Here is a 13,221-nt window from a genome sequence, read left to right as displayed (position 1 = left end):
TGTTTTTGATTTAAAATGGTTTTTTTTTTTTTTTCCTGAGACGGAGTCTCGCTCTGTCGCCTAGGCTGGAATGCAGTGGCACGATCTCTGCTCACTGCAACCTCTGCCTCCCAGGTTCGAGTGGTTCTCCTGCCACAGCCTCCCCAGTAGCTGGGACTACAGGTGCACGCCCGGCTAATTTTTGTATTTTTAGTAGAGACAGGGTTTCACCGTGTTGGCCAGGATGGTCTCGATCTCCTGACCTTATGATCCACCCACCTCAGCCTCCCAAAGTGCTGGGATTACAGGCATGAACCACCGTTCCCGCCCGGCCTTAAAATCTGTTTCAACTGGTATAAGTTATAGCTACTACTGCTTGCTGTTGGTTTTTGTCTACATGGAATATCTTTTTCCATCTATGTACTTTCAGTCTATATGCATCTTTACAGGTAAAATGAGTTTCTTATAGGCAGCATATAGTTGCATCATGTTTGTTTGTTTTTGTTTGTCTTGTTTTTGAGACAGAGTCCCTACTAAAAATACAAAAAATTAGCCGGGCGTAGTGGTGGGCGCCTGTAGTCCCAGCTACTTCAGAGGCTGAGGCAGGAGAATGGCATGAACCCGGGAGGTGGAGCTTGCAGTGAGCCAAGATTGTAGCACTCCACTCCAGCTTGGGCAACAGAGCAAGACTCCATCTCAAAAAAAAAAAAAAAAAAAGATTGCACCATTGCATTCCAGCCTGGGCAACAGAGCAAGACTCCACCTCAAAAGAAAAAAAAAAAAAAAGCTGTTCATCCCTATCATCTATCCAACTTCTTTCCCATCTCTGAACTCTAAGTCCTGCCATTTTACTGGTAGGGAGGAACTTCATGGCCATGGATGTGAGCTATCCAAACACTCAGAAAAAAAGAATCTTGACTGTCTTCTCTTCTTTGACCTTCTTCACTCTATTTTCAGCCAACATTCCCACAGCCCCACCCCCCAAATCCTTGTCATCAATCTGAAATGTGAAACACAGACATTTCACTCTCTGGCCACAACAACTAGTACCCCAACTCCCCCACTGCTTCATTGCCAATGGCATGAGGGGTATACTGGCCAACTAGGTCTTTGGTTAAGCTTCCAAAAAGTGCAAACACTACAGAAGGTCAAGTCTCCCTCCTATTAAAAGACTTTTTTTTCTAACATTTTGAAATCCTTTGTTACATGTTTACATGGAAGTATTTGAAGAAACACAAGAGAGTACAAGCAGTTTTTCTAATGTTTCATAAAGAAAAACAGGTGGGGCCTAGCAGTCCAAAGTGGTGATTAACAGCATGAAACTTACATTCACAGCCAGGCATGGTAGCTCATGCCTGTAATCCCAGCACTTTGGGAGGCCGAAGTGGGCAGATCACCTGAGGTCAGGAGTTTGAAACCAGCCTGACAAACATGGTGAACCCCGTGTCTACTAAAAATACAAAAATGAGCTGCGTCTGGTGGCTATAATCCCAGCTACTCGGGAGGCTGAGGCTGGAGAATCACTTGAACCCAGGAGGCAGAGGTTGCAGTGAGCCAAGATCGCACCATTGCACTCGAGCCTGGGCAACAAGAGCAAAAGAGCGAAACTCCATCTCAAAAAAAAAAAAATTTACCATCACACAAGACCATACTAAGACTCTACACTCATTAGCTGTGAAATGCAGAAGCAAGTCACTTATGACCGGCTTTGGGGGAACTTATCTAACTCATTTGCAAAATGGAGATGATAAAGCTAACCTCAGTCTTGCAATCAGGAGTTCAATTAAGATTATGCTCATAAAAAGCTTCCTGCAGTTCTGGGGGTTTTTTCAAGCAGATAAATGGAGCTGGGATAGGACTGTTTTAATCCAAACACAGATGAGCACAGGAAAATATCACATGTTCACGTGTATGCAACATGGCCCACAAGTCTGCACACACACACCAGAATGAACACATGAAAACATCCACATACTGGCCGGGCACGGTGGCTCACACCTGTAATCCCAGCACCTTGGGAGTCCCAGGCGGGCGGATCACGAGGTCAGGAGATCGAGACCATCCTGGCTAACATGGTGAAACCCCATCTCTACTAAAAATACAAAAAATTAGCCAGGCATGGTGGCAGGCGCCTGTAGCCCCAGCCACTCAGCAGGCTGAGGCAGGAGAATGGTGTAAATCTGGGAGGCAGAGGTTCCAGCCGAGACCATGCCACTGCCCCCCAGCGTGGGGACAGAGCAAGACTCTGTCTCAAAAAAAAAAAAAAACAAAGAAAAAAACATCCACATACTTATATGTAGTCACCCAATTGTGAATGTATACACACAAATATGAATATGCAGCATTCATCTTGTTCTACACAGAAATACACATCGTAGACACCCCTAAATCATGTGTGCACACATGCTGTATGCAGAGACAGACACAGATTGGCAAGCATTGAGAAACAGTGCCACACCCTGTCAGGCACACACACACATGTGCATGTGCAGACATAAGTTGGAATGGATACCCATTATCAAGCACAAACATACACACCACAAAGCCTGGTGCACACATAAATTCATGTATCAACATGAACGTGCTGAAACATACATGCACGTAGACACTAAAAGCATGCACCCAGAATGACACACACACAGTTGTATAAATGAGGATAAACATGGCAGAGGCATCCAGGAGAACCCACTGGACAAAATGGCACAAAACAAAGATGCACGAGCACACAGGGTGATTGAGGGGAACACTGACTTGCAGGGAAGGAGAAAGAGAAAGATAGAAAGATGGGATCCAAGACAAGCATAGACAGACAGGTGGGCAAAGTCCTGTGCAGGGCTCCAGGGCCAACCAGAATAACCTGAGAGTCTAATGCTGGCCTGTCCTTCCGCAGATACTGCCTAACTCAGCACCACACTCCAGGAGGCCATGAAGGATTAATTTCCTATTCACAGCTCCATGGGGTAAAGCTTGGCTGTGCTGAGGAAGGGATGGCGAAGGAGGTTCCCAAAGACTCTGTCCCTTTCCTCCTTCCCAAAGGAAAAGATTTGTGAGCTTTAGACTAGAGAATGTAAAAGCAAGGAATGTGCTTAGGGAACATCTCATCAATCTGCTTCATCCTACAGATTAAAGAGAACAACTACCATTCATTGAGCACTTACTGCCATGTACCTCATCTGCATTAACACATATACTTCTCCCCTAAATAGCCAAAGAGGTAGGAGCTGTTCTTGGCTCCATAAGACTCAGAGAGATGAAGTCAGCTGTTCAAAGCCACACAACAAAGAAAGGATAAGGTTAGGATTCCAATCCAGGCCTTAATCATTGCACCATCCATTCAGAAAGGGAAACTGAGGCCCAGCAAAGGAAAGGGATCTTCCTGGGCTCGCCACTAACTCACTCTGAAAGCCTGTTCCCAAGACACTGCCCACTGGGACAAGTCCCTCCCACATGATTTCAGACACCATTCTCTCACTCCATGCTCTAGGGTAATCAACAAGTCCAAAATTCATTGACCTCTATGTCCACAAATACTAGAGTTCTCCCAACCTGTCTCTCCCCATCCCCTCCCTGGCCAGGTCATGGCAACCTGCTGATCACTCAGTGCACTTCTTAGTGCCAACCCCACTGAGAAACAAACTCCTCAGATTTCTGTCTCCCACCTTTTTAAGAAACAAGAAGGAAAAGGAGGAGCCAGGCCCAGGTGCAGGCTGGTGAACAGGATTAGAGGGATTGATATCTGCCAAGCTGGTGCTAATCTTCCTTTCCACCTCTTCCCCTCCAAAATCAACAAACAACTTTCCTCTCTCTGCCTTGTTCTCTGACCTTTGTTCCCTCCACACAGGTCTCAGAGCTCAGCATCCTAGAACAGTTTGAGCAAGATGTCAGTCCTGGGGGTGCCAACCTCACCCACCTCCACTTGTCCAAAGTTGGTGACCCAGAGGACAGGTGCAACCCTAAATGGTCCAACCACCAGAGCCTGTCCTGTGGCCATCTGGGGCCCCTCTCAGGGTCTGGCTGAGGCTCATCTCAGACCCACATAGGACCAATATCAGCACCTGCCTCATGCTCATGTCAGAGCCCACTGGGACCAACCTCAGACCCTATATGGTGCCACCCTTATGCCCTCCTGAAGCAGGACACTCTTATGCCCTCAATGACACCTGAGACAACACACAGAGCCCTCTTGGCACCAAACATGACTTCAATATTCTCCTGGTGTCAAGTTCAGTGCCAACTTGTTTCCCATCCTCGCATACACCTGGGGGCAGTCCCAAAGCCAACACGATGCCTTTCCCTCCCTGGCCATACCTGATGCTGATATCAGAACCCGCCAATGTCATCAGTGTGTCCACTGCTGATGCCAGTCTCAGCACTCACCTCCTGCTAAGGCTGGCCCGCACTTGACTCCCAGGGTGATCTAGGCCAGTCAATGAAGGGGGGCGAGGAGAAAGTTCACATCCCAGCTCCCTCACTTACTCCCTGTGTGACCTCACTCAAGAGGGTTTATGGAGTCTAGATCTGCTCATCTTCAAAATGAGGATGATCACGATGAACCAACCTCACTGTTACAAAGATTCAACCAGATCATACACACCTAGACTTAATCTTCCCATATATGACCATGCTCACCAAAGGGTAACTGTCCTGTTTACTAAGGAAGAATTTCCCTGAAGGAAGGACAGGAGGGCTACTCATCCCTTCTCCACTCACACCCACCCCAGGATCTGCCTCTGTGCCTAACACTGGAGTTTACCCCAATCTCTTCTGCGACTGTTCCCTCTGCCTGCTAATAGTAGTAGCCCCTGACAAAGCAGGAATCGCCCTTAAAGGAGACTTAACTCACCCTCAAATGTGATCTTCTCTTCCCAAACACTCCCTTTCCACTGGCAGGAAAACCAAATCCAGAAAGGGGAACTAAGTACACAGAGCAGGAGAGATGGGAGTTCAGGGCCACTCACACATGTCCCCTGCCCACTGTCTGTTTTCTGTCCTCTGTAGATCTTTATATAAAATGAGAAACATAAACAACAATCATAATATTAATAGGGATGATACAATCAATCTAGTGGGTTTCCCTGAGGATCTGGGTTGGAAACCAGCGGACAACCCTTGGGACACTTGAGATTTTTCCACCATTTGGGGGTTGTTATTACTATTTCTCCAGACCTAGCCAATCCCTCTGCCAACCGCTAACTCCAGGTACTCTTCTCCAGGTGTGGGGAAAGTTCCCCTGAAATATGGCCCTGGTCTTCCACCCCTTTCCCAACCAGAGATGGGCAGTGGAGGTTCCATGGCACCCATCCTGGCCTCACTCTGAGGTTCCAATGAGGATTCTGGGCATCAAGAGATAGCTCTGGGCAAAAGCAAAATCAAGTCAGCCCCTGGGCCCATTGCTGGGCTGCTGGGCTTTCTGGGAGCACCTGCTGGCTTGCTACACACTCCTCCTCCCAGAAACTCCACACCCACAGCCCTGGGTCTTCCTAGCCCCGAGACTTTCAAGTCCATATGCCTGGAGTCCCCCCTCCTGAGACCCTTAACCCTGCATCCTCCGCAACAGAAGACCTCCAGATGCACAGCCACACTTCCATCTCACCCTAATAAAACCCAGACCTTTGGATTCCTCTCCCTTGGAATGCCCAAATCCACAACTTTGGGGTGCATTCTCACTCTCAGACCCCAAATCCAAAGCCCAAGTGCTCCCCTATGCAAATATTCCAAACTCTTCAGTTCTACAGTTTATCGGTTGCCCCCTCCTAAATCCACAGCCCTGCGGCACCCCTCCTGAAGTACCACAGATTTAGTCTGGAGGCCCCCTCTCTGTTCAGCTGCCCTGGGGTCCCCTTATCCTCCCTTGCTGGCTGTGTCCCAAGCTAGGTGGCATTCATGGTGGGGCGTGTAGTTGGGAGGTGAAATAAGGTGATTATGTAATTAGCCAAAGTCCATCCCTCTTTTTCAGGCAGTATAAAGGCAAACCACCCCACCCATCACCATCTGTCATCTCACTACCACCATGCTGGCCTCAGGGCTGCTTCTGGTGGCCTTGCTGGCCTGCCTGACTGTGATGGTCTTGATGTCTGTCTGGCAGCAGAGGAAGAGCAGGGGGAAGCTGCCTCCGGGACCCACCCCACTGCCCTTCATTGGAAACTACCTCCAGCTGAACACAGAGCACATATGTGACTCCATCATGAAGGTGTCCCAAGGCAGGAAGATGGGTGGCACAGGGTGGGGGCTGCCTAGTTGGCTGGGGCTTTGTGGCAGGGGATTGACCAGTGTGGACCAGAGTCTTAGGAAAGGGAGTTTTGGAGTTTCAGCATCCGGGTCCTAGCCAGGAAAGACAGGATCTTGGGATGTCCAGCTCCCTGACTGTGAGAACCTGGGGGTGAAGGATCCCAGTACTTGACATCTCGGTGCTGGGCCCCATTCAGAGTGGGGGCTGCTCCCTCTAACCACTCCCACTCGCCTCCATCAGTTCAGTGAGTGCTATGGCCCCGTGTTCACCATTCACTTGGGGCCCCGGCGGGTCGTGGTGCTGTGTGGACATGATGCCGTCAGGGAGGCTCTGGTGGACCAGGCTGAGGAGTTCAGCGGGCGAGGCGAGCAAGCCACCTTCGACTGGGTCTTCAAAGGCTATGGTGAGGGGGTGCCCAAGATGGGGAAGGTGGCCAGGCGGACACGATGGTCTCAGTGTTGCCAGCCTTCTCCCTGACTCTCCTGCCCACTGGAGGCTATGGCAGAACCCCCGGTCTGGTCTTATCTCCCCATCTCCCTTCACTGTGGCCTCTCCATGTGTATCCCTCACCTGTCTCCAGCGTCCCTGTCGTGATTCCTCCCTGCCTCTCTCTGCCCCACCTCCTTATTCTCTCTCACTGGAGTCTCCTCTTTCCCCTCTCTCTCCATCTCTGAGGACATCCTGGGTTTCTGTTTTCCAGCCCTGGTCCTCTGTCTTCATTTGTCTTTTTGTTGCTCTCAGCTTCTGTGCTTCTCCATGTTTCTCCTCTCTCCACTTCCCTCTCTCACTTTTTCCTCTCCCTTAGGATTTCATGCTATTCTTACTTCCACATCTCCAGCCTCCATCTCCTGGTAACAGTCTCTCTTCCTTCCAGACCCTCTCTGTTTCTGTCTCAGTATTTTTCTCTCTTCTCCAGCTCAGCTTAAGAATGTTTCACCATTTTTATTTCCTCCTCCCAGATCTCCCCATATCTCACTTCCCCTCCCTCCATCCTCTTCCTCCATCTCTCTCTTTCTCTCCCCACTTCCTACCCTTCCTCCATGGAGTATCCCCTTATCCCTCTGTTTCTCTGCGCATCTCTATCTGGCCTTTCTGTTTCTCTTCTGATTCTCTTATTCTTTCTACCCGGTCTCTCTCTCTCTCTCTCTCTCTCTCTCTCTCTCTCTCTCTCTCTCTCTCTCTCTCTCTCTCTCCCTCGTGTTTCTCTGACTGAGTTTGCACCTGTCCTGGGCACTGGCACTGAATCCATCTCTCTCCCACCCCACTACCCCTCTGCTCCACCCTTGGGGAGCCCCTTGGAACTGGTCCGCTCCTGCCACCGCCGCCCCCTGACCTCTCTCCACCCCCGCCTTGACCTCCCCAGGCGTGGCGTTCAGCAACGGGGAGCGCGCCAAGCAGCTCCTGCGCTTTGCCATCGCCACCCTGAGGGACTTCGGGGTGGGCAAGCGAGGCATCGAGGAGCGCATCCAGGAGGAGTCGGGCTTCCTCATCGAGGCCATCCGGAGCACGCACGGTGAGTAAGGTTCCCCGAGTGCGGGGGCAGGAGAAGGAAAACACCCAGGACGAGGAACCCGCGCGCGTTCTGCCTGCGGATGGGGACTAGGTGGGGAAAGGCGCCCGCACTTCCAGCCCTGGAGTCTGGCGCTGGGAATTTGGCTCAACAAGGCCCTGCCTCCTGGAATTCTGATTCTCCTCAGACCTCTGAGTTGACTCTCTCCCCAACCCCCTTCTCCCTCCACACCCGCAGGCGCCAATATCGATCCCACCTTCTTCCTGAGCCGCACAGTCTCCAATGTCATCAGCTCCATTGTCTTTGGGGACCGCTTTGACTATGAGGACAAAGAGTTCCTGTCACTGCTGAGCATGATGCTAGGAATCTTCCAGTTCACGTCAACCTCCACGGGGCAGGTAACTGGCTGCAGCCCGGCCCGTGACGCCCCTACCACAACCTGCCAACTGCTCCCCTACCTGGAGACAGGTGCCCCAAACTCCCACCCCGCTCCAGACAGTGTCCCCTCAAAATCAGCCCCCGATATTGGACAACTGGACAGTTGCACCAGAAGCCTGTCTCCAAGGACACCTGGATAGCTCAACAGATGCTCCCCAAAACAGAGCCTGCTGGTAGGATACATACCCTCAGCTCAGCTCTCTCACCTGGGCACGTGTTCCCATCCCCAACTTACCGTAATTTCTAACAGATGCTCCCTACCCAGTTCTTCTGAATATTTTAACACCTGGACAAATGACTGCGTCAACCCGCCTCCTGCATGCCTGAACACCTGGTGCTGCAAAATCCAGCCCATCATAATCATTTCACATCTACACAAATGTCCCAGATTAGCCCACTGGAATATCTGGCCAAGCGCCCTCTACTTCACCCACTTAAATGCCTGAAAACATGGACAGCTGCCCTAACCAACACCTTAAACACACAAATATCTAGACAGATTGTTCCCTGACACACAAATAAGTGTTCCCCAACCCTTTCCAATCACACACCTTACAGAGGTGCTCCCTGTGCATCGCACTTGGATAGGTAAACACCTCAACAGGTATCCCCTGCACTTCAACATCTTCACCAGCCCCACTTTAATACCTGAACACCTGAACAAAAGCCCCCAATCCAGACCCAGTAAGTATCTGGACAGCTGTCTCCAACCAAGCCTACTTGAATGCCTAAATACCTAGACAGGTGACACTCACCTCATACCAGCCCCACCTGAAGAGCTAAACACCTGGACAGGTGTCTTCCAACTCAACTTCACTTGAATATCTGAACACCTAGATGTGTGCTCCAATCCAGCCTCATTTGCATACCTGAAACCTGGATATATGCCTCAGTTCTTCTCACCTAAATTACTAGACCGTGGCCCTGGTACCTAACCTTCCTGAAAACTTAGATATAAGTTCCTATCCGACCCCACTGAAATACCTAAACAATGAGACAGATGCCTTTAACTCAGTTCCTTCCTTGCTATGAAACAAATCCCATTCCCATCAGCTCCTGCCCCGTGACAGCTGTCCTTCCCTTCCCATCCTCTCTCTGCAACCCCAGCTCTATGAGATGTTCTCTTCGGTGATGAAACACCTGCCAGGACCACAGCAACAGGCCTTTAAGTTGCTGCAAGGGCTGGAGGACTTCATAGCCAAGAAGGTGGAGCACAACCAGCGCACGCTGGATCCCAATTCCCCACAGGACTTCATCGACTCCTTTCTCATCCACATGCAGGAGGTACACCCCAGCAGCCAGTGCGGGGAGGTGCAAAGCCAGGCAGAGGGAAATCAGACTGGGAGTGGGGCGGGCAGACGACACAGACCCGTTCAAATTAGCCCTCATCATAATAATCCTCACAATTGGCTGGGCGCCGTGGCTAACAGCCTGTAATCCCAGCACTTTGGGAGGCCGAGGCAGGTGGATCACCTGAGGTCAGGAGTTCAAGACCAGCCTGGCCAACATGGTCAAACCCTGTCTCTACTAAAAATCCAAAAATTAGCTGCACGTGGTGGCGCGAAGGGGGGCAGAGGTTGCAATGAGCCAAGATCACGGCACTGCACTCCAGCCTGGGTGACAGAATGAGACCCTGTCTCAAAAAAAATTAATTAATTGTTTAAAAAGTAAGTGAGCCTGCATGGTCATGCGCGTGTGCAGTTCCAGCTACTCAGGAGGCTAAGGGTGGAGGATTGCTTGAGCCCAGGAGTTCGAGTCCAGCCTGTGCAACTTAGCAAGACCAAGTCAGTGTAAGAAAAAAAAAACTGACAGCTAAGTTGATAATTAAAGGACAGATGGTCAGCAACGTAAAGAAGGTGAGAAGAAAGAGCATTTTGGGCAAAGCCAGCAGCCAGGGCAAGGGCTGGAACCTAGAGCGAGTCTGGTAGATCTAGGGTCCCTCTTTCCACCTTTGGTCTGGACCAAAGAGAGGTAGATCCAAAGGAAAAGCCCTAGAAGGGCCCTGAGGGCAAGAGGAGTGAGGTTGGCCTAAAGCCCCCTCTCCCTGCAGGAGGAGAAGAACCCCAACACGGAGTTCTACTTGAAGAACCTGATGATGAGCACGTTGAACCTCTTCATTGCAGGCACCGAGACGGTCAGCACCACCCTGCGCTATGGCTTCTTGCTGCTCATGAAGCACCCAGAGGTGGAGGGTAAGGCTGGAGGGGGACGGAAGTGGAGGGCCCCAGACCCTCAAAATTCCCCTTCGACTGGTGCAATGTCCCTACCTGTCCCAGATCCCAGGACCCTGAGACGTGCCTTGCTGTCCAGAGACAGGGCAACATTCAGCTGGTAGGCATCAGCTGAGTCTCATTAGCTATTAAAATATTGAAAATGTCTGCACTGATTGGTCAGTCACTTCTGTCCCAAGCCCACTGAGTGCCCGCTGCCCCTTCCCCCGGGTCATCTCCTAAGTTCCTCCCTGTGCCTCCCCTGTGATTCTGGCACAACCTGGTTAACAGGATCCTACTCCAACAATGCGAATGGCCGATGTCTGTTCTGTTATGAATGCTCTACCTCCGTCTCATAGGGGGAGCCGTATCATCCACCCCGTTTTACCTATTCAGACTATCATTTCCTGCTCTGAGACTCCCAGATACCTAAACACATTCCCCCTCCTCCCCCAGCCAAGGTCCATGAGGAGATTGACAGAGTGATCGGCAAGAACCGGCAGCCCAAGTTTGAGGACCGGACCAAGATGCCCTACATGGAGGCAGTGATCCACGAGATCCAAAGATTTGGAGACGTGATCCCCATGAGTTTGGCCCGCAGGGTTAAAAAGGACACCAAGTTTCGGGATTTTTTCCTCCCTAAGGTGCTATCCTCCCCACCCCCTAGACTACGGGGACTTCCAGCCCTTCTCTGTGTCCCCAGAATCCTGCCCCCATTAGAAGCTTTCTACTCACTGTCCCACTCCCTCAATCAGTCAAAAAGGACTTCCCCAACCACCACATCCATTCCACCTTTCCACTTAGACACTCCTGAGTCCTGCATCTCCCCAGACTCTTTGTGTCGGGAGAATCAAACTCAAGTTCCAAAACTTCCTATCTTAAGAAACAGAAGCCCCCTTTCCATTAGGCCTTTTGTCTTAGGGACACAAATTTCAGGTCCCCCAAACAACCTGCGTAGCAAGACATGGACCCCATGTCTCCCAAACTTCCTGTTTCAGAGATGTGAACCTTCTATTCCCCAAAGCTCCTCCTTCACAGGACCCCAACTCCTCCATGCCTGCCACTTCCCCTTACCTGGGGCACACTAGTTCCCCCTCCAGCCCCTGTGTACTTTCACCAATCCCCCGACCCTCCTCATCACACACAACTTCCTCCTCCCTACCAGGGCACCGAAGTGTTCCCTATGCTGGGCTCCGTGCTGAGAGACCCCAGCTTCTTCTCCAACCCTCAGGACTTCAATCCCCAGCATTTCCTGGATGACAAGGGGCAGTTTAAGAAGAGTGATGCTTTTGTGCCCTTTTCCATCGGTAAGAGACCACTGTTTGCTGCCAGGCCACTGCTCACACCAGCAGGCGCCTCCCTCACCCACCTCCCCTCTCTGCGGTGTAGCCTGGTATTTCTCCAGCTTGGAAGTTCCTGTTAGAATCTACCCTTGAGCCAGCAGCTGATACTTCCTTAACTACCAAGCACCCAGTACCTGCACCCAGGTAAAAGGAAAGGAAACATCTTTCCCCGTAGATGTATTTCTCTAGGGTCACACAGCAGATTCCTCAGATCCCTAAAAAGGAGATGACGGCACAGCAGTCATATTTGCAAGTGTATCTGGCAAGAAGGACATCTAAACCTCCCATTGCTACACCTGGCATGGATCACCCCATCTATGATGGATGTGTGACATTATGCCTTTTTCAAAACCCATAGAACTGTATAACACAGAGTAAACCCTAGTGTAAACTATGGACTTTGTTAGTAATAATATATCAATATTGGTTCACCATTGTTACATCTCTTGTAGAAAGAAACTGAGGCTCAGGGAGGATCAGAGCCTCCTCTGAAACTCTCTCAGGCCATAATATTCCACCCCTCCTCCCTGGGAGAGCCGCAGCTGGAGGTCGGTACTGGGGCGAGGCTGCACTGAGAGTGGGCTTCACCTCCACCCCTCCCGCCTCTCCTCCTCAGGAAAGCGGAACTGTTTCGGAGAAGGCCTGGCCAGAATGGAGCTCTTTCTCTTCTTCACCACCGTCATGCAGAACTTCCGCCTCAAGTCCTCCCAGTCACCTAAGGACATTGACGTGTCCCCCAAACACGTGGTCTTTGCCACGATCCCACGAAACTACACCATGAGCTTCCTGCCCCGCTGAGCGAGGGCTGTGCCGGTGCAGGTCTGGTGGGCGGGGCCAGGGAAAGGCGGGGTCAGGGCGGGGTTCGCGGAAGAGGCGGGTATAAGAATGGGGGGAAGATGCGGGAAAGGAAGGGGCGTGGTGGCTAGAGGGAAGAGAAGAAACAGAAGCGGCTCAGTTCACCTTGATAAGGTGCTTCCGAGCTGGGATGAGAGGAAGGGAAACCTTACATTATGCTATGAAGAGTAGTAATAATAGCAGCTCTTATTTCCTGAGCACGTACCCCCGTGTCACCTTTGTTCAAAAACTATTGCACGCTCACCTCACTTAATTGCCACAAACCTCTGCGAAGGGGAAAAGCGTTCATGCCCATTTTACACGTGACAAAGCTGAGGCTTAGAAAGTTGGCTCTATCTGATGTCTCACAAAACATAAGTGCCCAGAAAATCTTTGAACACAGATCTGTGCCCATAGCCCTCTAGACACATTCTTAAAAACCACCCATTCCTCACGTAAAACAGCTTAGTATAGCATCACATGGCCTGAACATCCCTGTCCTGGGGAGTTTTCCAGAGACCTGGCGGGTGGCTGTCCTGCCTTCACTGCACACATGCCCACACTCTCACCTACTCAACATGCTTTGAATACCCGGGTGTAATCTGTGCTTGCTACCAGATAAGGCCACTGTAGCCCATTCAGAGTCAGTCCAGGGACACAACGAGACATGAATGGACA

The 13,221-nt window shown here is 50.9% G+C and overlaps 1 protein-coding gene across 3 annotated transcripts; it reads left to right on the top strand.

Moving 5' to 3' along the window:
• CYP2A7 (cytochrome P450 family 2 subfamily A member 7) lies at positions 5,969-12,761 on the top strand. Of its 3 annotated transcripts, NM_000764.3 has the most exons (9): positions 5,969-6,169; positions 6,449-6,611; positions 7,572-7,721; positions 7,956-8,116; positions 9,264-9,440; positions 10,207-10,348; positions 10,823-11,010; positions 11,532-11,673; positions 12,326-12,761. In NM_000764.3, the coding sequence occupies exons 1-9, from the start codon at positions 5,990-5,992 to the stop codon at positions 12,505-12,507; spliced, it is 1,485 nt and encodes a 494-aa protein (NP_000755.2). In that variant the 5' UTR covers positions 5,969-5,989; the 3' UTR covers positions 12,508-12,761. The 3 variants fall into 3 exon arrangements, with proteins under 3 accessions (NP_000755.2, NP_085079.2, XP_047294235.1); NM_030589.3 differs by lacking the exon at positions 6,449-6,611 and having other exon boundaries at positions 5,969-6,179; XM_047438279.1 differs by lacking the exon at positions 12,326-12,761 and having other exon boundaries at positions 10,823-11,624.

Source organism: Homo sapiens, chromosome 19 (genome assembly GCF_000001405.40).
Source record: "Homo sapiens chromosome 19, GRCh38.p14 Primary Assembly".
NCBI classification, from domain to species: Eukaryota; Metazoa; Chordata; class Mammalia; order Primates; family Hominidae; genus Homo; species Homo sapiens.
This window is presented reverse-complemented; position numbering and strand designations above follow the sequence as displayed.

Bases quoted from the DNA above. Each gene is read 5' to 3' on its own strand.
- CYP2A7 (XM_047438279.1), top strand. From the start codon at position 5,990: ATGCTGGCCTCAGGGCTGCTTCTGGTGGCCTTGCTGGCCTGCCTGACT. The intron at 7,722-7,955 runs GTGAGTAAGGTT...CCACACCCGCAG, and splicing joins GGCCATCCGGAGCACGCACG to GCGCCAATATCGATCCCACC. The intron at 10,349-10,822 runs GTAAGGCTGGAG...CTCCTCCCCCAG, and splicing joins GAAGCACCCAGAGGTGGAGG to CCAAGGTCCATGAGGAGATT.